We start from the raw sequence: 27271 nt of genomic DNA on the forward strand, positions 1-27271 counted from the left end.
CAAGACCTAAGAGAATAGCTATAGTACTAGTCATAATATCAATGTTCCAGGCAGCAAAGTTGGAAGAAGGGAAAAGTAAGAAAAGGGGGAAGGGGTACATGCCAGTTGTTTTTTATTATAGGTAAGATTTCTGGAAGCTCTATATGACACTTCAATTTGTATCCCAAATCAGAACATATTCATATGACTATACCTACCTACGAGGAAGGCTGGAAAATATCATCTTTATTCTGGGCAGCCAGGTGCCCTAGCCAAAAATTGGGACATTTTATGCCATGGAAGAAGTCTTTGCTGCACAACCTATTCAGTTTCAGCTCATAATAGGCCATACACCCTTATTCACTATGCTCTAGCCAAAAAACTTCCTTTGTTCTTCAAAGCAGCCAAACTCTTACCTATCTCAAGGTTTCTCCTGCCTAGCACACCCTTCCTCAGATCTTCACATGGCTGGTTCCAACTCATCATTCAGGACTCAGTTCAAAAGGTCACTTCCTCAGACAGACCTTCTTTGACTACTGTATGAAAGGTAGGCCCCACCCCAGTCACCCTTTTTCATATTGCACTGCCTTATTTTCTTCATAGCATTTGTCTCCATCTGAAATTATTAACCTTTTGCCTTATTTCACTAAAATATAATTTCCTCAGAACAAAGACCTTTTTTCACTTCTTCACTGCTATATTCCTATTATGCAGTACAATTCTAAGCACATGGTAGGAGTTTAAGATTAGTTGAATGGATGAATGTCTGACTCCAAAGCCCATGCTTTTCCCATTACATCTACTGCTCCTAGTACATCTGAAATAATATCCCATTCCAGTAGTCAATCTTTGTTTTTTTGAGAATGACAGCCTAATAATTTTCTTTCAATCAAGATTTTTAAAAAATTATTCCTAAAGTAAAAGAAAATCTTATGCTCAGTAAGTAAAAAGAAGAGATTTGGATAAAACATCATGGGCAAGACTCTTAAGTTCCTCGATCTCACAGTTTTCATCTGTAAAAAGAAAGAGTTGATTAAAATTGATTTAATCTATAGATATTTACCAAGCATTATGCTAAACTGGGACATGAAGGTTAAATAAGATAATTTCTGACCTCAAAAGGGGCTCACAGGTGCCTTTCAACTCTACAATTTGTAAGATTCTATATAATTGTTAGTCTGTACCCTCTGTGTTAACAGAAAAAGCCTACCAATTTCCACTACTGAGATATTAATTAAAAGATGTCGAGACATTGATAAACACATTGCTTCATTTTAAAATAAACATTTAATTCAACATTGCAACAGGAGTTGAACTGTATTTAAAACAGAAGCATATTAATGACTAAAAAAATGTGTATATTAATCTTTAGTTCCCTTTTGAGGGGATTTTGATTGCCAGTTCTCCGCAGTGAAATGCTAGGAAAATGTCTTTAGAAGACAGAATTCTTTCTGAATGCAAGTCTAAAATGCTTAAAAGAGATTAAAGGTTTTAAAGACCCAAATCAGAAATATCCATTAGATACATCTCATTTGAATCCTAAGAGTTTAAACATAATAAACGCTGTATTTATTTATTTTATTTCTTTTTTATTTTTTGAGGCAGAGTCTCACTTTGTTGCCCAGGCTGGAGTGCAGTGGTGCAGTCTTGGCTCACTGCAGCCTGTCTTCTGGGTTAAAACGATTCTCCTGCCTCAGCCTCCCCAGTAGCTGGGATCATAGGCATGTGCCACCACGCCCAGCTAATTATTGTATTTTCAGTAGAGAAGGGGTTTCACCATGTTGGCCAGGCTGGTCTTGAATTCCTGGCCTCAAATGATCCACCCACCTCAGCCTCCCAAAGTGCTGGAATTACAGGTGTGAGCCACCAAGCCCAGCCTATATATATATATTTAAAGATGACAAGAAATTAACAACTCAGCATTTTGAGAATGGCATGTCAGGTTATCATGATTAGTACATGGGCACCTGGCTGTGGCTCATCTACTACCATATTCTTTGTTCTTCTAGATCCTTCTTGGCTTCCATCTTGGCAACTCCAAAGGCATGGTGGGGAAAACAGATGCAGAGATAGATGCCTATTTCTCCTGCAGTCTCTTTCAGCATAGCAATTAGGCAAGTTATCAATAAGAGTATATAATCTATAACTTATAGTCCACATAAGGCTTCACTCAATTTGAAAAATTGCCAGTTCTGTCAAATATGCTAACACTCCAATAAGGTATTTATGACACAGAATCTGCAAAAAGAAAAAGAAGGAGACATTTAAAATTAGAATAGTATTAATTATAACAAAGCAGATTGATATTTGAATAATCAATGTTATATTGGTTTAACTTCTAGATTTAATTCATGAAGCTTACCACATGCAATACACTCATTTTTGGCCAGGCACAGTGATTTATCCCTATAATCCCAGCACTTTGAGAGGCCGAGGCAGGAGGATCACTTGAGCCCAGCAGTTCAAGACCAGCCTGGGCAACAAAGGGAGACCTCATCTCTACAAAAAAATTTTAAAATGTAAAAAACAGCCAGGTGTAATGGTATACACCTATAGTCCCAGCTACTCACAAGGCTGAGGCAGGAGGATCACTTGAGCCCAAGAGTTAAAGGTTATAGTGAGCTATAATCACACTACTGCATTCCAGCCTGGGTGAAAGAATGAGACTCTCTCTAAAACAAAAAACCCCTCATTTTTACATTTTCTATTTCTTTCCCTTTTTGTTTTTTAATGCTGGTCTCATCAAAATTATTTCCCAACCTACTGTTGCACTGTGACCTCCAGTTTGAAAAACATGAATATAGTGCTTATAGAGTATTGACTTATTGGATCTACGAGGTAAGAGTTCAAATCTTGATTCTTCCTCTTGATAATCTATCTTGCTTGTCATTTAAACCTATCTTGGCCTCAGTTTCCTTGTTTTAAAATAAAATGTGGATAAAAACACCTAACTGTCCAGGCACGGTGGCTCATGCCTATAATCCCAGCACTTTGGGAGGCCGAGGTGGGTGGATCACTAGGTCAGGAGTTTGAGACCAGCCTGGCCAACATGGTGAAACCCCATCTCTACTAAAAATACAAAAATTAGCCAAGTATGGTGGTGGAGCCTGTAATCCCAGCTACTCGGGAGGCTGAGGCAGGAGAATTGCTTGAACCCAGGAGGCGGAGGCTGCAGTAAGCCAAGATCACACCACTGCACACCAGTCTAGGCAACAAAACAAGACTCCATCTCGAAGGAAAAAAAAAAAAATCTAACTAGCCAGGCATGGTGGCTCATGCCTGTAATCCCAACACTTTAGGAGGCCAAGGCAAGTGGATCATTTGAGGTCAGGAGTTCAAGACCAGCCTGGCCAACATGGTGAAACCTCATCTCTACTAAAAATACAAAAATAGCTGGGCATGGTGGCAGGCACCTGTAGTCCCAGCTACTCGGGAGACTGAGGCAGGAGAATCACTTAAACCCAGGAGGCGGAAGTTGCAGTGAGTTGAGATTGCACCACTGCACCCCAGCCTGGGTGACAGAGTAAGACTCCGTCTCAAAATAAATAAATAAATAAAGATAAAAATAGTAAAAAAAGTAAAATTACAAAAATTAGCCAGGTGTAGTGGCTCATGCTTGTAGTCCCAGCTACTCAGGAGGCTGAGGCACGAGAATCGCTTGAGCCTAGGAGGCAGAGGTTGTAGTTAGCTGAGATAGCACCACTGCACTCCAGCCTGGGTGATGGGGTGAGATTCTGTCTCAAAAAAAAAAACAAAAAGCACACACAGAAAAAACACCTAACTACAGGGTTGCTCTAAAGATTAGAATTTAAGTCTGTTAAACTCTTAGCACAGTAACAAGATCACAGGAAACATTTACTGAATGTACATTGTGGCTGTGTATTTTAATATATTTTAGGAGCCAATTCTCAGTTTATTTCTGATACTTTTTTTTTTTCTTTTGAGACGGAGTCTCGCTCTGTCACCCAGGCTGGAGTGCAGTGGCGCGATCTCGGCTCACTACAAGCTCCGCCTCTCGGGTTCACACCATTCTCCTGCCTCAGCCTCCCCCAGTAGCTGGGACTACAGATGCCCACCACCACGCCTGGCTAATTTTTTGTATTTTTAGTGGAGACGGGGTTTCACCGTGTTAGCCAGCATGGTCTCAATCTCCTGACCTCATGATCCGCCCGCCTCGGCCTCCCAAAGTGCTGGGATTACAGGCGTGAGCCACCATGCCTGGCCTATTTCTGATACTTCTTATCAGAAATCACTCTGTAGAGAATAAAACAATGTCTCTATTATTTCTTTCCCAATGAGGACAGAAAAGCCTGGAACATAAAGATGACATCTTAGTTCTGTGTTTCTGGCTATAATTTTGTCTAACACAAAATTCTCTATTACTCTGATAATTATTTCAAAATTTCACAAGGAACAATTCTGAAAGTTTCAAAGTTACTACAAAATAATAATTCACATTATTACCAAAAGCTGAAGCACACAGCATATAGTGTCCTTCCATTATAAGGCTATATCTAGAAGGCTAAAGACTGCAATAAACCATAAACCATAAAATAAAAGCTCTCTATTGTCTTGAATACATTCAAGTGTGTTTCTTCAATTGAGTGGACAATACAATCATCATACATTTTTAAAACCATAAAACAAGGAAAAATTACTTAACTAGATTGTTCAAACTAACCTTTATTTTTCCATCAGTATGTGCTGAAGCTACAGATGTTGAAACACGAACTAATCTTGTGGCTGATAAATGAATTTTGAAATGTCTATGGAAATGTGAATAAAGGCAATCCATGAATAGGTCAACTTCTTCCTGGGTAACCTCCCCAGGTGTTTTGTGGACACTGTCCCATAGAGCTTTTGCATCCTCTGGATGTATTGCGAAAGAAATGTCCAGACTTTGAGGGCTACAGGGTACAGACCAAAGAAATTCAGTAGTAGCCACATAATGGTCCATTTTGCATGCAGTCCACATGGCAGCCATCCAGGAAAGATTAAATGCATTGATTGCTAAAGGACTGAAATAACAGTCAAAGGTTTTCTGAAACCAAGTTCCAATTATTGCTGTGTTAGACTCTGCTCCATTTGCAAGGAATAAGGGCAGACAGGTGAAATCTTCTGAAACAGTCTCCAGAAGACTGTCTCCAAATACACAGCAGAACCAGCCAGTCCACAGCACTTTACCTTCTCTATTCTCAGATGGCAATTGAGATTTTGACACAATCTACAAAGAAAGTAAACAGGCTCCTTAAATTCAAAAGTACATTTACTTCTAAATTCCATCTTCTCAAAATTAGTTCATTAAAAATAAGACGAGCCAATGTAATACTTGCAAAAAAAAACATAGAGGGAATAGTCTCCCTAATGATTAACAGGGCTTATCAAAATAATTGGCCTTTTTTTTTTTTGAGATGGAGTCTCACTCTGTCGCCCAGGCTGGAGTGCGGTGGCGTGATCTCAGCTCACTGCAACCTCCACCTCCTGGGTTCAAGTGATTCTCCGGCCTCAGCCTCCCAAGTAGCTGGGATTACAGGCATGCACCACCATGCCCAGCTAATTTTTGTATTTTTAGTAGGGATGGGGTTTCACTGTATTGGTCAGGCTGGTCTCCAACCTCTGACCTCAGGTGATCTGCCCACCTCGGCCACCCAAAGTACTAGGATTATAGGCGTGAGCTACCAGGCCCGGCCCCCAATATTCTTATACAGTGGAAACATGATATATGGCAAAATCTTGGTGTAACCAAACTGCAAAATAAGAGCTACCAATATGGCATAACCAGGTGTAGTACCCTGAAACAAACAAACAAAAAAAACCCCTCAACTTTAGAAAGAACTGTGAAAGGTCACAAAATCTAACATGTTTGAATTCTTTCATTGAGGAAGGCTTCAATATTTCCTAAGGCAGCACTATCAACTTAAAATGTTCTTTTATATGTTAGACCCTACAGTTTCTACCCACTGGTCCTGCTTTCTTCCTTTTGGGCATGCAGAATATAATCACATCTGATCTCTCTTCTACAGGAAAAGTCCTTCAAATATTTGATGGTCCCCATCATACATAGTACTAAGTTCAATATTTCCAGTTTCTTCAACCATTCACCTATGACATACATTCACATTCTCTCACTATTCTAGTCACTCTTCCCTGAAATTATTCTGCATAGGAATCATTCATAAGTGAATATAATTACTTTAAAAAGCTCTGATTCGGGGAAGGAAGGGGGAAAAAGGTCTCATTGCAAGACTAACCACCACCTTTAACTAGATTATACTCCTATTAATGTAATCTCAGATTGCAGTTTTCTGGTTTTTAGTTGACAGCTTTATATAAACTAGCCCTGTATATTCATGTTTGCTTTATAGGTAAATCTCTCCCAACTTATACTGAGGCTGTAAATTTATTCCTACTAACATTTTAATCTCTTTTGATTTGGCTCATTGGACAATCCATTCAGAACATTTAGGATATTTTATTATATTTTTAGCTGATTGCCTAACCCCTCAAACTAAATTTTAAGTTACATGACAAACATGCCTTCCGGATACTCAAAGAACTCTGTTAAAGCATTAAGCAGACCAAGGTTAATATCATAGCTTTGTATCATACCCCTTCAGAAATGATCATTTACACAGTTCTTTTAACATATTTCTCCTTGTTCAAGAAATTATGAAAGACTCTCAAATAGCTGGAAGCTTAGATATATTAACTTTATCACACTTTCATGACCTAAGAGTCTTGTAACCCTATCAAGAAACGAAATTTAATTTGAAAACTATTAGAACACTATACCAGGAATTCAAGAGGTCATTTCTAATCCTCACAAGGGTAGATGCTTGACTGATAATATGCAAGTCACAAAACTTCTCTGTGCATCAAGTGCTTCACTTGACAAAAACTGCTAATTGTCTCTTGAGTATCCATTTTTCCTCCCACAATAAAACAGTCCCTTTATGGCTGGGCGAGATGGCTCATGCCTGCAATCTCAGGACTTTGGGAGGCCAATGCGGGTGGATCACGAGCTCAGGAGTTTGAGACCAGCCTGGGCAACACGGTGAAACCCTGTCTCTATAAAAATATAAAACTAGCCTGGCACGGTGGCACATGCCTATAGTCCTAGCTACTTGGGGGGCTGAGGAGGGAGGACTACTTGAACCCAGGAGGTAGAGGTTGCAGTGAGCCAAGACAGTACCACTGCACTCCAACCTGGTGACAGAGAAGCTGTCTCAAAAAAAAAAAAAAAAAGTCTCTTTAGTTAAGTTGGCAGAGTACTCACTGAAAAAAAAGTCTTTTCTAGCCTCCCTTCCAACTAAGATGTAAAGAGAAGTTACTGGGTCTCAGCAAGATTTACTCTGCATCAGGTTCTGTTTGTCCTTCCCATCTTCTTCCTACTTCCTGCCTGGAACTTGAATATAATGTTTAGAGCTGCTGGAGACATCTTATGTTAGACAATAAGGTAACTTCTAAGATGAAAACCATGCACTAAGGAGAAGAAAGAGCCTAGATTATTAATGATTTCATCAAGCATCATACCAGCCTCGGACAGCTTACATCCATGCACTTTTTTTTTAAAAAAAGACAGTATACCACTATCTTGTTTAATTCACTGTTATTTAGGCTAACCCTAATCCCAGAACATCTTGAGATCTTTGCCAATACCATGACCTATATCAGGGGTCAGCAAATTTTTTCTGTAAAGGGCCAGTTAGTAAGCATTTCAGACTTTGCTGGCAATATGGGCTCTGTTGCAACTTCTCAACTCTGCTGTTGCAGCACAAAAGCAGCCACAGACAATATATAAGCAAATAAAAGGGGCTATGTTCCAATAAAACCTTATTTACAAAAACAAGCAGCAGATCAGATTTGGCCTATGGGCCATGGTTTACTGACTCTAATCTATACAAACAAAAAGTCAGTCCTTTTCAACTGCTTGAGAACTTAATTTCCTTATCCATTATTAAGATTAGTTAGCTCAAAAGAAACAGAAGCAGCAGGCATGAATAATAAACAAAATAAATCTGAGGCTGAGTGTGGTGGTTCATGCCTGTAATCCCAGCACTTTGGGAGGCCAAGGTGGGTGGATCACTTGAGCCCAGGAGTTCAAGACCAACCTGGGCAACATGGCGAGACCCTGTCTACAAAAAATACAAAATTTACCCGAGTGTGGTGGCATGCACCTGCAGTCCCAGCTACTTGGAAGGCTAAGGTGGAAGGATCACTTGAGCCCAGGAGACAGAGGTTGCAGTCAACCAAGATCGTGCCACTGTACTCCAGCCTGGGTGACAAAATGAGACCCTGTCTCAAAAAAATAAAATAAAATAAAATAAACGCAACATTTTATATTCCTTCCTGTAAGTAGTATATAAGAGCAACAGAACTATCTTAAGAAACCAGATTTATTTATTTATTTATTGTATTTTTTGTAGAAATGGCATCTTGTCATGTTGCCCAGGATGGTCTCAAACTCCTAGGCTCAGGTGATCTGCCCGCCGTAGCCTCCCAAAGTGCTGGGATTACAGGCATGAGCCACTGCACCCAGCCTTAAAATGTTACATTTCTGAGAGTAACCTGGCATGAAGTATCACAAAATTTAATGATATATATTTTTATACTAAAATTCTACTTATAGAAATTTAATCCCAGTAAAAACCACAAAAATACAGAATTCCTAATGATATAAGTAATTGTCTACAATATTAGTAAAAATATCATAATGTAAAAGTATGGGCAATATGATCCCAATTTCAAGACTATATAGATACAGATAACCAAACATATATACCAAAATGTTAAACTATAATTTTTAACTTTTTTGGTATTTTTATGTATTTCCTCAGTTTTTAAAAATAAACATGATTTTGTACACAAACTACCTATATATATAGGAAAAAATTTTTTAAGTTGATTATATCTAATTATTATAGTTTAGTCAAACAAGACATAATACTTTTCCCCTAGGAAGCAAGAACTGTTTATGTATTATACCTGGACAAGAAATGCTTCCGGGTCCCTTTGTGTTCCTTTCATTCCTAGGAGAGTAGAAAAAATCACTTTGATGTTGAAGTCTTCTCCCACTTCCACAGCAAGTCCTTTTTGCTTTTCAGCAACAATAAAAGCATTGAGAAGTCTAGAATACTCTTTGAGATTACTATAGGAGAATTTATATAAGGGAGTTAAACTATATAAAGTCCACTGTTTATGCAGAAGGAATGCAACCTTTTGAGGGTCAACATCTTCCTATAAAAAAAAATCAAGACAAAAGAAGTTTAAGAATTAGGAAACAATAAGAATTTAATCATAGCATTTAAAACATCTAATACAAATATATTATTGAGTACCTGATTTTTGCACTCCAACCAAATGAGTTTGCAGGACTTTTTGCAGATCCTTGAACAGACCTTTACCTTTGCTGTACCTTCTCTTTAGAATGCTCTTCTCCCAAGTGTTCACATGGCAAGTTCCTTCACTTCATCAGTTCTCTACCCAAATGTAATCCAAGAGGCCACTCGATCTAAAGTAGCACCTGCACCCACTCCAACTTTGTATCACCTCATCTGGCTTTACTTTTCTTCACAGCACTTATTACTACCCAACATTATATTCTTGTCTGCAATTTTTTTGTATTTTTATTATCTGTCTTCCCTACTGGTGTATAAGCTGGATGACAGCAGTGATTTTGTCTATTTAGTTCTCTCTAGAACAATGCTATCTAGAATAAGTGTTCAATAAATATTTAACATAAAATTTATGTTTCACTTTTAGAAACCTCAAACTATAGATTTCAAAAGTAGTAACCATTCCTAAAGTATCTAATTTGATTAGTCTTAATTTAAAAAATTGTTTGGGCCAGGCACAGTGGCTGACGACTGTAATCCCAGCACTTTGGGAGGCTGAGGCAGGCGGATCACAAGGTCAGGAGTTTGAGACCAGCCTAGCCAACATGGTAAAACCCCATCTCTACTAAAAATACAAAAATAAATAAGCCAGGCATGGTGGTGTGCACCTGTAATCCCAGCTACTCAGGAGGCTGAGGCAGGAAAATTGCTTGAATCTGGAAGGCAGAGGTTGCAGTGAGCCGAGATCACGCCACTGCACTCCAGCCTGGGTGGCAGAGCGAGACTCTGCCTTAAAAAAAAAAAAAATTGGCAGCAAATCTACTTTATGAAACCATGCCCAATTCAATAGATTAAATAAAAAGATACTTGGGGGCTGGTCCAAAGGTAGTGAGTTATCTCAGTTGATTGTTCACAATCAGTTATAGATCAAACTCCTTGTTTCCAACTCCCTGTTCTACTCTTTCCCCCTTCCCCCTTTGTCACTACTGTGCTAGACTAGTCTTAAAAAAAAAAAAAAAAAGATATTTGGGAATATTTTTTGCCATGCTCTATTAGAACCACAGGTACGATTAAAAACAAAAACACTTCATTTATACCATATACTATATATAAAAATTAACTCAAGGTGGATTAAAGACTTAAATGTAAAACACAAAACTATAAAAACCCTGGACGACAACCTAGGCAATACCATTCAGGACATAGGTACAGGCAAAGATTTCATGACAAAGACGCCAAAAGCAATTGCAATGAAAGCAAAAATTAACAAATGGGATCTAATTAAACTAAAGGGCTTCTGCACAGCAAAAGAAACTATCAACAGAGTAAACAGAAAACCTACAGAATGGGAGAAAATTTTTGCAAACCATGCATCTGACAAAGGTCTACTATCCAGCACCAATAAGGAACTTAAACAAATTTACAAGAAAAAAAATGGGCCAGGTCAGGCGTGGTGGCTCACACCTGTAATCCCAACACTTTGGGAGGCCGAGGCGGGTGGATCACCTGAGGTCAGGAGTTCGAGACCAGCCTGGCCAACATGGTGAAACCCGGTCTCTACTAACAATACAAAAAAATTAGCTGGGCGTGGTGGCGGGCACCTGTAGTGCCAGCTACTCCGGAGGCTGAGGCAGGAGAATCGCTTGAACCCAGGAGGCGGAGGTTGCAGTGAGCCAAGATCGTACCATTGCACTCCAGCCTGGGTGATAGAGCAAGACTCCCAGCACTTTGAGAGGGTGGGGAGGGTTGATCACCTGAGGTCAAGAGTTCCAGACCAGCCTGGACAACAGGGTGAACCACTGTCTCTACTAAAAATACAAAAAAAATTAGCCAGGCATGGTGGTGGATGCCTGTAATCCCAGCTACTCAGGAGGCTGAGGCAGAAGAATCGCTTGAATCTGGAAGGCAGAAGTTGCAGTTAGCCAAGATCATGCCACTGCACTCCAGCCTGGCTGGGTGACAGAGTGAGACACTCTCTAAAAAAAAAAAACAAAACAACAACAAAAAAAAAACAACCCCATTAAAAAGTCAGCAAAGGACATAAGCAGACACTTCTCAAAAGAAGACATACATGAGGCCAACAATCATATGAAGAAAAGTTCAACATCACTGATCATTAGAGAAATGCAAATCAAAACCACAATGAGATGCTATCTCACATCAGTCAGAATGGCTATTATTACAAAGTAAAAAAACAACAGATGCTGGTGAGGTTGTGGAGAAAAATAAAAAGTCAAAAAAAAACAGATGCTGGTGAGGTTGTGGAGAAAAAGGAATGCTTATACATTGTTGGTAGGAGTGTGAATTAGTTCAACCATTGTGGAAGACTGTGTGGCAATTCCTCAAAGACCTAGAGACAGAAATATTATTTGACACACCAATCTCCTTACTGGGTATATACCCAAAGGAATATAAATCAGTCTACCATAAAGACACATGCATGCATACACTCACTGCAGCACTATTCACAATAGCAAAGACATGGAATCAACCTAAATGCCCATCAATGACAGACTGGATAAAGAAAATGTGGTACATATACACCATGGAATATTATGCAGCCATAAAAATGAATGAGATCATATCCTTTGCAGGGACATGGATGGAGCTGGAGGCCATTATCCTTAGCCAACAAGCAAAGGAACAGAAAACCAAATACCACATGTTCTCACTTATAAGTGGGAGCTAAATGATGAGAACACATGGAAACATAGAGGGGAACAACACACGCTTAGGCCTGTCGGGGGTGGAGGGTGGGAGGAAGGAGAGAAGCAGGAAAAATAACTAATGGATATTAGGCTTAACATCTGGGTGATGAAATAATCTGTACAACCAACCCCCATGACGCACGTTTACCTAGAAAACAAACCTGCACATCCTGCACATATACCCCTTAACTTAAAATAAAAGTTAAAAAAAAAATACCGTGGACATGATTCAGATTAAAGGAGGTTAAAATACATAAAAACTCCTCGTATATATGGGTTGCATGTTTGAAAATTACTTTAAAAATAAATAAACAGGCCGGGCGCGGTGACTCATGCCTGTAATCCCAACACTTGGGGAGGCTGAGGCGGGCAGATCACAAGGTCAGGAGATCGAGACCATCCTGGCTAACATGGTGAAACCCCGTCTCTACTAAAAAATACAAAAGATTAGCTGGGCATGGTAGCGGGCGCCTGTAGTCCCAGCTACTGGGGAGGCTGAGGCAGGAGAATGGCCGCCAGGAGGCAGAGCTTGCAGTGAGCCAAGATCGCGCCACTGCACTCCAGCCTAGGTGACAGAGCAAGACTCTGTCTCAAAATAAATAAATAAATACATAAATACAAATATAAAAAACAAATAAAAGACATAAAGAGGTAGCACTGATCGTTATGAAATTGTTTCTTTCTCATTTATTTTATTAGCTGAGGGGTTAAGAAGATACTAAGAATACTATAGTTACAAAAATTGAAATGTTTTGTTCACAGATATTCTCAATTATTGACTAACACAAAGGGACACAAAAAGCATACCTGCAACTGCGAACACTGGGGAATTTTCCTTCGAGGTGGAGTCAGGATAAATGAACTCTGCTTCCTGACCGATTCTAATCGTTTCTGCAGAGGAGTGGCACCTATAAAGTAATCTTCAGGTCTTGAGGATGCACTAGGAGTTGACTCTGGTGCACTGTAAGAATCCATGGTCTGTCTGCATAAGAAGAAACAAAACCAGAATTCTAAGCACTAAAAAGTTAATTCATGCTTACAGTTTCACTGATTCCTCACTCTAAAGGAATCCTTTCTCTTTCTGTCTTTTCCCCTCCCTATCCCCAGTTTTGACTTTTAAACCAAGTCCTATATTCCTCATTGGCTATAGCCCACTTTTATGTATATCTTACAGATACCTCAAAAACAGTATATGTTCAAAACTAAATTCAACTTCTTTTCCTCCTTCAAAAAGCTAACTGATCCATTTTCAAATTCCTGTCAATTTGCTAAGTTAACTTAAATTCATGTAGTCCCCCACCTTCATTCTTTAACACATAGTCATTAAGCACATTCTACTGAATTTTTCTGTCAAGAATCTGTCTAATCCAGTTCCAAGATGGCTGAATAGGAACAGCTCCGGTCTGCAGCTCCCAGCATGATCGATGCAGAAGACAGGTGATTTCTGCATTTCCAACTGAGGTAACTGGTTCATCTCACTGGGACTGGCTGGACAGTGGGTGCAGCCCATGGAGGGTGAGCCAAAACAGGGTGGGGCATTGCCCCACCTGGGAAGCGCAAGGGGTCCAGGGATTTCCCTTTCCTAGCCAAGGGAAGCCATGACAGACTGTACCTGGGAAAATGGGACACTCCCACCCAAATATTGCACTTTTCCATATGGCCCTGGCAACCGGCAGACTAGGAGATTCTCTCCCGTGCCTGGCTTGGTGGGTCCCACACCCATAGAGCCTTGCTCACTGCTAGCCCAGCAGCCTGAGATTGACCTGCGAGACAGCAGCCTCGTGGTGGGGAGGGGCGTCCGCCATTGCTGAGGCTTGAGTAGGTAAACAAAGTGGCCATGAAGCTCAAACTGGGCGAAGCCCACCACAGCTCAGCAAGGCCTACTGCCTCTATAGACTCCACCTCTGTGGGCAGGGCATAGCTGAACAAAAGGCAGCAGAAACGTCTGCAGACTTAAACATCCCTGTCTGACAGCTCTGAAGAGAGCAGTGGTTCTCCCAGCATGGCATTTGAGCACTAAGAACAGACAGACTGCCTCCTCAAGTGGGTCCCTGACCCCCGTGTAGCCTAATTGGGAGACACCTCCCAGTAGGGGCCGACTGACACCTCACACAGGCAGGTGCCACTATGGGACGAAGCTTCCAGAGGAAGGATCAGGCAGCAATGTTTGCTGTTCTGCAGCCTCTGCTGGTGATACCCAGGCAAACAGAGTCTGGAGTGGACCTCCAGCAAACTCCAACAGACCTGTAGTCTAGGGACCTGACTGACAGAAGGAAAACTAACAAACAGAAAGGAATAGCATCAACATCAACAAAAAGGACATCCACACCAAAACCCCATCTGTAGGTCACCAACATCAAACACCAAAGGTAGATAAAACCACAAAAATGGGGAGAAACCAGAGCAGAAAAGCTGATAATTCTAAAAACCAGAGGGCCTCTTCTCCAAAGGATCACAGCCCCTCGCCAGCAACGGAACAAAGCTGGATGGAGAATGGCTTTGATGAGTTGACAGAAGTAGGCTTCAGAAGGTCGGTAATAACAAACTTCTCAGAGCTAAAGGAGCATGTTGTAACCCATCGCAAGGAAGCTAAAAATCTTGAAAAAAGGTTAGATGAATGGCTAACTAGAATAAACAGTGTAGAGAAGAACTTAAATGACCTGATGGAGCTGAAAACCATGGCACAAGAACTTCATGATGCATGCACAAGCTTCAATAGCCAATTCAATCAAGTGGAAGAAAGGATATCAGTGACTGAAGATCAAATTAACGAAATAAAGCGAGAAGACAAAGTTAGAGAAAAAAGAGTAAAAAGAAACGAACAAAGGCTCCAAGAAATATGGGACTATGTGAAAATACCAAATGTACGTTTGATTGGTGTACCTGAAAGTGACGGGGAGAATGGAACCAAGTTGGAAAACACTCTGCAGGATATTATCCAGGAGAACTTCCCCAACCTAGCAAGGCAGGCCAACATTCAAATTCAGGAAATACACAGAACACCACAAAGATACTCCTCAAGAAGAGCAACCCCAAGACACGTAATTGTCAGATTCACCAAGGTTGAAATGAAGGAAAAAATGTTAAGGGCAGCCAGAGAGAAAGGTCGGGTTACCCACAAAGGGAAGCCCATCAGGCTAACAGCGGATCTCTCGGCAGAAACTCTACAAGCCAGAAGACAGTGGGGGCCAATATTCAACATTCTTAAAGAAAAGAATTTTCAACCCAGAATTTCATATCCAGCCAAACTAAGCTTCATAAGTGAAGGAGAAATAAAATCCTTTACAGACAAGCAAATGCTAAGAGATTTTGTCACCACGAGGCCTGCCTTACAAGAGCTCCTGAAGGAAGCACTAAACATGGAAAGGAACAATCAGTACCAGCCACTGCAAAAACACGCGAAATTGTAAAGATCATCAATGCTAGGAAGAAACTGCATCAACTAACGGGCAAAATAACCAGCTAACATCATAATGTCAGGATCAGAGTCACACCTAACAATATTAACCTTAAATGTAAATGGACTAAATACCCCCATTAAAAGACACAGACCGGCAAATTGGATAAACAGTCAAGACCCATCAGTGTGCTGTATTCAGGAGACCCATCTCACATGCAGAGACACACATACGCTCAAAATAAGGGAGATAGAGGAAGATCTACCAAGCAAATGGAAAGCAAAAAAAAGCAGGGGTTGCAATCCTAATCTCTGATAAAACAGACTTTAAACCAACAAAGATCAAAAGAGATAAGGAAGGCCACTACATAACGGTAAAGAGATCAATTCAACAAGAAGAGCTAACTACCATATATATGTATATATATGCACCCAATACAGGAGCACCCAGATTCATAAAGCAGGTCCTTAGAGACCTAGAAAGAGACTTAGACTCCCACACAATAATAATGGGAGACTTTCACACCCCACTGTCAATATTAGACAGATCAACGAGACAGAAGGTTAACAAGGATATCCAGGACTTAAACTCAGCTCTGCACCAAGTGGACCTAATAGACATCTACATAACTCTCCACCCCAAATCAACAGAATATACATTCTTCTCACCACCACATCCCACTTATTCTAAAATTGACCACATAATTGGAAGCAAAGCACTCTTCAGCAAATGTAAAAGAACAGATATCACAACAAACTGTCTCTCAGACCACAGTACAATCAAATTAGAACTCAGGATTAAGAAACTCATTCAAAACCGCCCAACTACATGGAAACTGAACAACCTGCTCCTGAATGACTACTGGTTAAATAATAAAATGAAGGCAGAAATAAAGACGTTCTTTGAAACCAATGAGAACAAAGACACAATGTACCAGAATCTCTGGGACACATTTAAAGCAGTGTGTAGAGGAAAATTTATAGCACTAAATGCCCACAAGAGAAAGCAGGAAAGATATACAACTGACACCCTAACATCACAATTAAAAGAACTAGAGAAGCAAGAGCAAACAAATTCAAAAGCTAGCAGAAGGCAAGAAATAACAAAGATCAGAGCAAAACTGAAGGAGATAGAAACACAAAAAAACTCTTCAAAAAAATCAATGAATCCAGGAGCTGGTTTTTTGAAAAGATCAATAAAGTTGATAGACCGTTAGCAAGACTAATAAAGAAGAAAAGAGAGAAGAAGCACATAGATGCAATAAAAAATGCTAAAGGGAATATCACCAGTGATCCCACAGAAATACAAACTACCATCAGAGAATACTATAAACACCTCTATGCAAATAAACTAGAAAATCTAGAAGAAATGGATAAATTCCTGGACACATACACCCTCCCAAGACTAAACCAGGAAGAAGTCGAATCACTGAATAGAACAATAACAGGCTCTGAAACTGAGGCAATAATTAATAGCCTACCAACCAAAAAAAGGCTACGACCAGATGGATTCACAGCCAAATTCTACCAGATGTACAAAGAGGAGCTGGTACCATTCCTTCTGAAACTATTCCAATCAACAGAAAAAGAGAGAATCCTCCCTAACTCATTTTATGAGGCCAGCATCATCCTGATGCCAAAGCCTGGCAGAGACACAACAAAAAAAGAGAATTTTGGACCAATATCCCTGATGAACATGGATGCAAAAATCCTCAATAAAATACTGGCAAACTGAATCCAGCAGCACATCAAAAAGCTTATCCACCATGACCAAGTCAGCTTCGTTCCTAGGATGCGAGGCTGGTTCAACATACGCAAATCAATAAATGTAATTCATCACATAAACAGAAACAACAACAAAAACCACATGATTATCTCAATAGATGCAGAAAAGGCCTTCAACAAAATTCAATAGGCCTTCATGCTAAAAACTCTCCATAAACTAGATATTGATGGAACATATCTCAAAATAATAAAAGCTATTTATGACAAACCCACCGCCAATATCATACTGAATGGGCAAAAACTGGAAGCATTCCCTTTGAAAACTGGCACAAGACAGGGATGCCCTCTCTCACCACTCCTATTCAATATACTGTTGGAAGTTCTGGCCAGGGCAATCAGGCAAGAGAAAGAAATAAAGGGTATTCAATTAGGAAAAGAGGAAGTCAAATTGTCCCTGTTTGCAGATGACATGACTGTATATTTAGAAAACCCCATTGTCTCAGCCCAAAATCTCCTTAAGCTGTTAAGCAACTTCAGCAAAGTCTCAGGATACAAAATCAATGTGCAAAAATCACAAGCATTCCTATACACCAATAACAGACAGAGAGCAAAATCATGAGTGAACTCCCACTCACAATTGCTACAAAGAGAATAAAATACCTAGCAATCCAACTTACAAGGGATGTGAAGGATCTCTTCAAGGAGAACTACAAACCACTGCTCAACAAAATAAAAGAGGACACAAACAAATGGAAGAACATTCCATGCTCATGGATAGGAAGAATCAATATCGTGAAAATGGCCATACTGCCCAAGGTAATTTATAGATTCAGTGCCATCCCCATCAAGCTACCAATGACTTTCTTCACAGAATTGGAAAAAACTACTTTAAAGTTCATACGGAAACAAAAAAGAGCCCACATTGCCAAGACAATCCTAAGCAAAAAGAACAAAGCTGGAGGCATCATGCCACCTCGCTTTAAACTATACTACAAGGCCACAGTAACCAAAACAGCATGGTACTGGTACCAAAACAGAGATATAGACCAATGGAACAGAACAGAGGCCTCAGAAATAACACCACACATCTACAACCATCTGATCTTTGACAAACCTGACAAAAACAAGAAACGGGACAAAGATTCCCTATTTAATAAATGGTGCTGGGAAAACTGGCTAGCCTTATGTAGAAAGCTGAAACTGGATCCCTTCCTTACACCTTATACAAAAATTAATTCAAGATGGATTAAAGATGTAAATGTTAGACCTAAAACCATAAAAACCCTAGAAGAAAACCGAGGCACTATCAATCAGGACACAGGCATGGGCAAGGACTTCATGACTAAAACACCAAAAGCAATGGCAACAAAAGCCAAAATAGACAAATGGGATCTAATTAAACTGAAGACCAGGCCGGGCGCAGTGGCTCACGCCTGTAATCTCAGCACTTTGGGATGCTGAGGCGGGTGGATCACAAGGTCAGGAGTTCGAGCCCAGCCTGGCCAATATGGTGAAACACCATTTCTACTAAAAATACAAAAATTAGCCAGGCATGGTGATGTGCGCCTATACTCTCAGCCACTTGGGAGGCTGAGGCAGGAGAATCGCTGAACCCAAGGAGGCAGAGGTTGCAGTGAGCCAAAATCGTGCCCCTGCACTCTAGCCTGGGTGACAGAGCGAGACTCCGTCTCAGAAAAAAAAGAAAGCAAAAAAATAAATAAATAAATACTGTCTGCACAGCAAAAGAAACTACCATCAGAGTGAACAGGCAATCTACAGAATGGGAGAAAATTTTTGCAATCTACCCATCAGACAAAGGGATAATATCCAGAATCTAAAAAGGACTTAAACAAATTTACAAGAAAAAAACAAACAACCCCATCAAAAAGTGGGCAAAGGATATGAACAGACACTTTTCAAAAGAAGACATTTATGAAGCCAACAAACACATGAAAAAATGCTCTTCATCACTGGTCATCAGAGAAATGCAAATCAAAACCACAATGAGATACCATCTCACACCAGTTAGAATGGCGATCATTAAAAAGTCAGGAAACAACAGATGCTGGAGAGGATGTGGAGAAATAGGAATGCTTTTACACTGTTGGTGGGAGTGTAAACTAGTTCAACCATTGTGGAAGACAGTGTGGCAATTCCTCAAGGATCTAGAACTAGAAATACCATTTGACCCAGCGATCCCGTTACTGGGTATATACCCAAAGGATTATAAATCATGCTATTATAAAGACACATGCACACATATGTTTATTGCGGCACTATTCACAATAGCAAAGACTTGGAACCAACCCAAATGTCCACAATGATAGACTGGATTAAGAAAATGTGGCACATATATACCATGGAATGCCATGCAGCCATAAAAAAGAATAAGTTCATATCCTTTGCAGGGACATGGATGAAGCTGGAAACCATCATTCTCAGCAAACTATCACAAGGACAGAACACCAAACGCCGCATGTTCTCACTCATAGGTGGGAATTGATCAATGAGAACAATTGGACACAGGGCGGGGAATATCACATACCGGGGCCTGTCGAGGGGTCAGTGGCTGGGGGAGGGATAGCATTAGGAGAAATACCTAATGTAAATGATGAGTTGATGGCTGCAGCAAACCAACATGGCACATGTATACCTATGTAACAAACCTGCACATTTTGCACATGTACCCTAGAACTTAAAGTATAATTTAAAAAATAAAATAAATTTTTTAAAAATGTTAAAAAAAAAATCTGTCATCCCTTCACAAAGCTAATTCCTTAGCCACAACTAAGAGTTCTCCGTATCCAGAGTAATCCATTCTTCCAAAAATAGCACTTTATTTTATCTATGCAAAAACCTTTACAGTAACAAGACAAATCCTAAACTCTTCTGCTGGGTTTAAGGTCTTTCTAATTCAGCTTCTCTTTATTTTCCTAATTCTCCTCTCCAACCTGGGACATAAACATATTCTTATCTTCATGTGTTTGCTTCTCAACTGCATTTCCTATCTTAAGCGTCCTTTTCCCATCTCACCTCCTTTAAGACCATGCTAGAAATTTGATCTCCTTTCAAACTAGGGTGTTTTTAACCTTTTGGTCCTGAAATACCTATGGCATACATTTTTATCTGTTATCTGTTATCAGTGGCTCATTCCTGGAAGCAGAGTATGCATGTGTGTGTGTGTGCTGAATGAGCTCTCATCTCTAAATAAGTCTGAAAAAATCCCTCAAGAATGTTCTACAAAATCCTTGGAGATATACCAGCACACATAGCTTTCCTCAATCACCCAGTCTGTACCACTCATTTTAGCCCCTGTTCATATACTTCCTTGTACCATTTTTCAGTGTGTATTTCTTGTACCCTCAGTAAAACTAAGCTACTGTCACTGAAACCATGCTTTATATTTCTCTTGTATAATTACCCAAATACAAGGCTGAGTGTCCTTTAATTGTTAAACAAGTATTGGTTCAATTAAACGGAAGTATTTCATAGAACTTCCAAATTAGGGCCGGGCATGGTAGCTCATGACTGTAATCCCAACACTTTGGGAGGCTGAAGCAGGTGGATCACTTGAGCTCAGATGTCTGAGACCAGCCTGGGCAACGCTGTGAGACTCCATCTCTACAAAAAATAAAAAATAACTAGCCAGGTGTGGTAGTGCACACCTGTGGTCCCAGCTACTCAGGAGGCTGAAGTAGGACTGCATGAGCCCAGGAGGTCAAGGCTGCAGTGAGATGTGATCATGCCACCGAATTCCAGCCTGGGTGACACAGCAAGACCCTCTCAAGAAAAAAAGAAACACAAAATTAAAATACAATTTTCATTAAAAGGAATTATCATTTCAAAGTTATGATTAGTCTCAGCTGGGCGTAGTGGCTCACGCCTGTAATCCCAGCACTTTGGGAGGCCGAGGAAAAGTGGATCACCTGCAGTCAGAAGTTTGAGACCAGCCTGACCAACATGGTGAAACTCCGTCTCTACTAGAAAAACAAAAATTAGCTGGGTATGGTGGCACACACCTGTAGTCCCAGCTACTCAGGAGGCTGAGAGGAGAATCGCTTGAACCCGGGAGGTGGAGGCTTCAGTGAGCCAAGAGCACACCACTGCACTCCAGCCTGGGTGAGACAGAGCAAGACTCCATCTCAACAACAACAACAAAAGTTATTAGTCTCAACTACTACACAATTACCCTTTTGAAAAGTTTTTTACGAATAAAAAGTTATATTACTATATTTACTTATTTTATTTTATTTTATTTTTTGAGATGGAGTCTCACTGTTGTTGGCCTGGGCTGGAGTGCAATGGCGCGATCTCGGCTCACTGCAACCTCTGCCTCCTGGGCTCCAGCAATTCTCTTGACTCAGTCTCCTGAGTAGCTGAGATTACAGCTGCCCGCTACCATGCCTGGCTAATTTTTTGTTTGTTTTTTTTTTTGTATTTTTAGTAGAGACAGTGTTTCACCATGTTGGCCAGGCTGGTCTTGAACTCCTGACCTCAGGTGATCCACCAGCCTCCCAAAGTGTTGGGATTACAGGTGTGAGCCACCGCACTCGGCCCATATTTAAATAGTATTATATTTAAAATAGCACAGGTTGAGCATCCCTTACCCAAAATGCTTGGGATCAAAAGTGTTTTTGAATTTCAGATTTTCTCAAATTTGGGAATATTTGTATCACACTGGTCAAGCATCCTTAATCCAAAAATCTGAAATCCAAAATGCTCCAGTGAACATTTCCTTCCAGCATCATGTCAGTGCTCAAAAAGATTCACGTTATGGGGCATTTCAGACTTCAGATTTAACCTGTAACTTCTATTTCAATATGTTAGACTAGGACACCATTTATATCTTGCACAAAACTCCACAAATTAAACATGTAGTCCTAGCATGGACAACACAGCAAGACCCCATCTTTCAAAAAAAAAAAAGGAATTAGCCTGGCATGATGGTAGTCGTAGCCACTCCAGAGGCTGAGGCAGGAGGAGTGCTTGAGCCCAGGAGTTTGAGGCTGCAGTGAGCTATGATCACACCACTGCACTTTAGTCTGAGCAAGAGTGAGACCCTCTCTAATTAATAAATAAATAAATACATAAACTAAACATGTAGCATTATTTGTCCTTAAAGCTCAAATAATGTCCAGAGCAAGTTCATATACCACACAATTTATTTATTTATTTTTAGAAATGTTCATAGTAGCTTTATTCATAATAGCCAAAAATTGAAAACAACTCAGTGGGTGAATGATAAATAAACTGTGGTACATCCACACCATGTAATAGTACTCAGCAATGAAAAGAAACAAATTATTGATACATGCAACAACTTGGATGTTAAAGCCAATCCAAAAAGGTCACATATAAAATTTCATACATTTAACATTTTTAAAATGACAAAGTTAAAGGAATGAAAACAGATGAGTGGCTGACAGAGATCAGGGAAAGGGAAGAGGGTGGGAGGGACATAAATGTGACTATAAAAAGGCAACACAAGAATTCCTTGTGGTGATGGAACTGTATCTTGACTGTAGTGAATACATGACTCTACACCAGACACCACACAATTTAAATAGCAGCTATTCTAAAGCATCCTAGCTTTAAATGCATATTGAATTACCTATTTCAAAGGGAATTTTAATCAATCCTACTTAGACAGAATGTTTCCTTCAAATTTGTTACTTGGTACAATAATTGCTAACACTTATTGAGCATTCATCATGTTTCAGGTACTCTTCTAAGCCCTTTATAAATATTTTCTCATTTAATCTTCAAACAACCCCATGAAGTAGATCATGCTCCCAGCTAACAAATAGGAAATCAGACAAGTTAAGTAACTTGCCAAAGTCAACAAGTTAGAGTGGAAGAGTCAGGATTTGAATCCAGACAGTCTAACTCTGCAATGAGTGCACTTAGCTACTTCTTTCACGTTGCCTTTTAAACAGGGATCAATTATGAGGCAACATAAGCCCTGCTGAATTTGACTCCTTAAAAGAGAAATGCTATGAATCCCAAAAAGATTTTAAAGTCTAGGTGACTTTAAAAAGTCTAGCAATAAATGTAGGTGAGAAAAAGACTATCAGCACTAAGAGGGATGGTTTTGAAAAAACATGTCAATTGTGTATTTAATGTTAACGTAAAATAGCCCAATCCACGAATTAAAGATTAGCAAATGATTTATACTTATTTTACCTTCTCATCTCACACTCAAGAATGTGTAATTTTTGCCCAGCACAATAATCCAGAGGTTATTAATATACCTTGGCTCAATATATTACTGTCCCAATACTCTTCCTTCCAATCGGAAGCAAAGAGGTCCTCTTACTTGTATCTCCCCTGGACACCATCTCCTTTGTGTACTTCAGCCTTTTTTTTTTTTTTTTTTTTTTTTGAGACAGGGTCTCACTCTGTTGTCCAGGCTGGAGTGCAGTGGCCTGATATCACTGCAGCCTCCACCTGCTGGGCTCAGGCGATCCTCCCACCTCAGCCTCTCGAGTAGCTAGGACTACAAGCGTGCACCACCACAACCAGGCTGTACTTCACATCTCTATCATCTTTAATCACTCCTATACAGGATCCTTTTCTTTCACTGCCAAGCATATTCTAGTATTTCTAACATTAAAAATTTGTGTTTAAATCCAATTCGTCTCATTCCTTCTGAGACCAATCTCCTGGAAACGTCGTCTACACCTATTGCCTCCAGTTACTAATAAATATTTTACTAGAAATCTTCAGCAATCTCTTTCTTCCATCTATCACTACAAAGAAACTGTACTTTCGAAGATCATTGTTTTTGCCAAAACCATGGCCAAATACTTTGTTCATCAAGTTTGTTCATCCTTACTCCTCTAAACTTTCTGGGACCTTGTTTCCTCTGACATTCCATTTTTTAGGGGCTTTTCTCCTCCTTACTTTTTATAGTTCCAATTTATTTACTGATTCTTTTTTTTTCCTCATGTTCCAATAGTAGGTGGCCCCAGATTCTGAAAATCATTCATTCTACATAGGAAAATAATCATTCTATATGACTCCTAAATCTCTGTCTTCAGACCATTACAGCTGCAACCCAGTCCTGCATTTCCAACCTCCGTCAAACTCATTAAGTTCAAAACTAATCATCGCTTCACATCTTATTCAATCTTTCTTTGCCAACTACTGTACTCTGTTTTGCTCAGTAATAATTCCATTCTTCCTTTTCATTTTCTTTCCCCACTAAAAAAACTTTCATCATCTTTTACTCTTCCTTCAACATCACCTTTACATCTAAAAAGTTAACTTTGTTAACTTTATCATCAAATTCTCACATATTTCTTTTTTGAAGACAGAGTCTCACTCTGTCTCCCAGGCTGGAGTGCAGTGGTGCAATCTTGGCTCACTGCAACCTCCACCTCCCAGGTTCAAGTGATTCTCCTGCCTCAGCCTCCCCAGTAGCTGGGACTACAGGTATGCACCAACACGCCTGGCTAATTTTTGTATTTTTTGGTAGAGATGGGGTTTCTCCATGTTGGCCAGGCTGGTCTTGAACTCCTGACCTCAGGTGATCCGCCTGCCTTGGCCTCCCAAAGTGCTGGATTACAGGCATAAGCCACCACACCTGGCCTCTGACATATTTCTTAAAAAGATATACACTTGTCCTCTTAGATGTGGGCTTCACTTTCATTCTCAATTATAGCTACTTATCTTGTTCCCAATCTTAGCCCCTTTCCCTAATCCATCATCAGTCTTTCATTGTCACCACTTTTATCATTACCTTGCTTGAGATCCCATAACAGTTCCCACACATCTATATGAAGTCAAATCAGAATTCCTGTCTGGCTTTCAAGGCACTACTGTATTTGATCTTATTATCTGATCCTATCCAGGTTCATTTTCTACTACTTCAGTTCTTCCCCAAGATCCATCGACATTAGCCTTTCCAAAATCCAACATTCTGCATACACTTCCTCTAAGGTTTTGTATACAACATTGGGGGGTGGGGGGATGGGAGTGAAGAAAGTTCCAGTAGACAATTCTTTAAGAGGTTAAATGACAGCCCTATACCCAAACATGCACCCCCTACTCTAGACAGATGATCACTCTACTGTTCTCCCTGCCTTTTTATTCACCTTATCGCCAATTAAAAACACTTCTCTACTCCCGTTTGTCTCAGTAAATCTTATCCATTTTCCATGTGCCATCTCCTCAGAAGTTTTCCTGAGCTTGGCAGGGCTAGTTCTCTTGACAATTCCACTTGCAGTTGTGGTTCACAGCACACAAGTAAAGCTTTGTTGTTTCTCTTGTGATTAGTCCGTGAAGGGGCTCTGACTTGATCACTTTTCTACATTGCCACCAATACCTAAATCCAACCGCCCCAATGCCAATACTTAGCCAGTGTTAAGCACGTAGTGTTTAAACACACCTCAACACGCAAGTATTGTAAGATAATGACCACACAACAGGGCAAATACAAAGTTAAAGCAGGTCCGGGACCAATACAAAGCATCTTTACCAATAAAATGCCGTGATGACGCTGTCACCCATTCCGGATTCACGAATCATTCTTCAAAAGTCCGGCTCCAAAACTATGTGGAGACTGAAATCCCCTGAAGAAAAAAAAAAAAAACCGCCAAAATGACAGCTAAGACAGAGGCCAGACTAACCCCTGGCCCTCCCAAATTCCCTCTCGCTCCACAAGTGGGTTCACAAGAGACACAAACGCACCCAGGAAGACCTCCGCTCCCTCAGACGCGGGGCGGGCCCTGCGACTTCACTCTGGGAGGGACATTTCCGCTCACCCAGCTCTGCGACCCTCGCTCCTGCGGAGTCAGCTTCTGCTCGCGGAGGGGGAAGGGCAAAAGGACAGTGCGTCCCAACCCGTCCCTCTCCAGCTGAGCCTGTCAGAGACCAGCCCAGCTCTGAAATCAAGCCGTTGAGAAAAGGGAATTCGGCCCTCCGCCGCCTCTTCAGTTTAAAATCGTTTCCCGACTCGCTCTGCGGCCCCACGCAGGAAGCCTCCTTGGCGCCTCGCCGATTCCGTATCAGTGAAGCAACTAAAATTGCCATTTTAACTGAGGGCAAGGCCGAGCCACTTAACCACTATCGTCAACCTTTCCAATCGTGCTCGGTTGCTCCTCAGTTTTCCTACCGGTGCGAAGCTTTCTCTCAAATTTCCGCCCGTAGTAGGCATGGCGGCGGCACCTCACCACTGATTCGTTGAATTCCTTCCCGGTAATCTTGGGCACTAGCGGGCGGAGTTGAAGGGCGCTTGGACCCCAGCGGCGATCTGTGTTTGGGTTCGCGCTCTGGGAGAATTTTGGCTTTGCTCGCCTTCCTCTTTCAGAAGACTCGAAATCGGCCAGCAGGTCTGCGAGATTTGAAACGCGACTGTTACTCCTTGTTTTCCGGTTCTGGCCGCGGGAGCCTCTCGAGAAGCGTGGAAAGAGGAGAAGGGCGTATACCTTGTGACCGCCTCTGGTTGTCTTGGGCTCGCGCCTGGCGCCGCTACGTGGAGTCGCTCTCTCGTCGTCACTTTTGGCTGCCGACTTGTTGAGTAGAAGTGCAGACTGATGCTTTAAGACTCAGGGAGAGGTCTTTCCCTTATCTCCACCCCAGCAAGCACCCCAGAGACCTTGGAGATTTGTCTTGTTTCTAGACACGTGTACTCCAATGTTGTGCGGAGGAGGCCTTAAATATTCGAGAAGAGAGTGGGAACTCCTGGAATTTTAAGGGATTTCTGTGTATTTCCAAAACTGACTTTTAACTACCGGCAGCGTGGGATTTCGTGATTGTTTTTCGCCATCGTGTGGCTCCAACATGTACTTCCCTTCTTGGTTAAGTCAGCTGTACAGGGGTTTATCCAGACCCATCAGAAGGACCACCCAACCGATCTGGGGTTCTCTCTACAGAAGTCTGTTGCAGAGTTCACAGAGGAGAATTCCAGGTGAAAATAGCGAAGAGATCTATCCTATGAACAGTACTTCAGCCTGTTATCTACGGCCGGAGAGCTTTTATTCCATTTTTCATTTTTTCCCCCATTATTATTATTATTATTATTATTATTATTATTATTTGAGACGGAGTCTCGCTCTGCTGCCCAGGCTAGAGTGAAGTGGCGCGATCTCCGCTCACTGCAAGCTCCGCCTCCCGGGTTCACGCCA

General features: G+C 40.8%; 2 protein-coding genes across 20 annotated transcripts in view, besides 6 other annotated features; one reads left to right on the top strand and one right to left on the bottom strand.

The window, feature by feature from the left end:
• Positions 255-455: a silencer, noted in NCBI's record as "peak463 fragment used in MPRA reporter construct". NCBI's record gives its function as "represses an SCP1 promoter by STARR-seq MPRAs in K562 erythroleukemia cells {active_cell/tissue: K562}" and the evidence as "EXISTENCE:reporter gene assay evidence [ECO:0000049][PMID:32103011]".
• CENPL (centromere protein L) lies at positions 1248-26581 on the bottom strand. 17 transcript variants are annotated; one of them, NM_001387284.1, is made up of 8 exons: positions 25836-26581; positions 25624-25717; positions 20810-20926; positions 12830-13004; positions 8965-9216; positions 8137-8274; positions 4661-5203; positions 1248-2217 (listed from the first exon to the last, which is right to left on the bottom strand). In NM_001387284.1, the coding sequence occupies exons 4-8, from the start codon at positions 12995-12997 to the stop codon at positions 2146-2148; spliced, it is 1173 nt and encodes a 390-aa protein (NP_001374213.1). In that variant the 5' UTR covers positions 12998-13004; positions 20810-20926; positions 25624-25717; positions 25836-26581; the 3' UTR covers positions 1248-2145. The 17 variants fall into 17 exon arrangements, 13 of the variants coding, with proteins under 13 accessions (NP_001374213.1, NP_001374215.1, NP_001374217.1 ...); NR_170629.1 differs by lacking the exon at positions 20810-20926 and having other exon boundaries at positions 8137-8254; positions 25910-26581; NR_170627.1 differs by lacking the exon at positions 20810-20926 and having other exon boundaries at positions 8157-8274; positions 25910-26581.
• Positions 25858-26097: an enhancer, noted in NCBI's record as "active region_2116". NCBI's record gives its function as "activates an Ori minimal core promoter by ATAC-STARR-seq in GM12878 lymphoblastoid cells {active_cell/tissue: GM12878}" and the evidence as "EXISTENCE:reporter gene assay evidence [ECO:0000049][PMID:35858748]".
• Positions 26075-26593: an enhancer, noted in NCBI's record as "H3K27ac hESC enhancer chr1:173793515-173794033 (GRCh37/hg19 assembly coordinates)". NCBI's record gives its function as "activates a minimal SCP1, AML or CMV promoter by ChIP-STARR-seq in naive H9 embryonic stem cells {active_cell/tissue: H9 hESC(naive)}" and the evidence as "EXISTENCE:reporter gene assay evidence [ECO:0000049][PMID:30033119]".
• Positions 26075-27111: a biological region, named in NCBI's record as "H3K27ac hESC enhancers GRCh37_chr1:173793515-173794033 and GRCh37_chr1:173794034-173794551".
• Positions 26328-26887: an enhancer, noted in NCBI's record as "active region_2117". NCBI's record gives its function as "activates an Ori minimal core promoter by ATAC-STARR-seq in GM12878 lymphoblastoid cells {active_cell/tissue: GM12878}" and the evidence as "EXISTENCE:reporter gene assay evidence [ECO:0000049][PMID:35858748]".
• DARS2 (aspartyl-tRNA synthetase 2, mitochondrial) overlaps positions 26371-27271 on the top strand; it is a 33874-nt gene continuing 32973 nt past the window's right edge. For all 3 annotated transcript variants that reach the window (NM_018122.5, NM_001365212.1, NM_001365213.2), the window contains exon 1: positions 26371-27054. In NM_018122.5, coding sequence (NP_060592.2) covers positions 26928-27054 — 127 coding nt within the window. In that variant the 5' untranslated portion in view covers positions 26371-26927. The remainder of the gene's footprint in view (positions 27055-27271) is intronic.
• Positions 26594-27111: an enhancer, noted in NCBI's record as "H3K27ac hESC enhancer chr1:173794034-173794551 (GRCh37/hg19 assembly coordinates)". NCBI's record gives its function as "activates a minimal SCP1, AML or CMV promoter by ChIP-STARR-seq in naive H9 embryonic stem cells {active_cell/tissue: H9 hESC(naive)}" and the evidence as "EXISTENCE:reporter gene assay evidence [ECO:0000049][PMID:30033119]".

The sequence above is a fragment of the Homo sapiens genome, chromosome 1 (genome assembly GCF_000001405.40).
Source record: "Homo sapiens chromosome 1, GRCh38.p14 Primary Assembly".
Classification (NCBI taxonomy): Eukaryota; Metazoa; Chordata; class Mammalia; order Primates; family Hominidae; genus Homo; species Homo sapiens.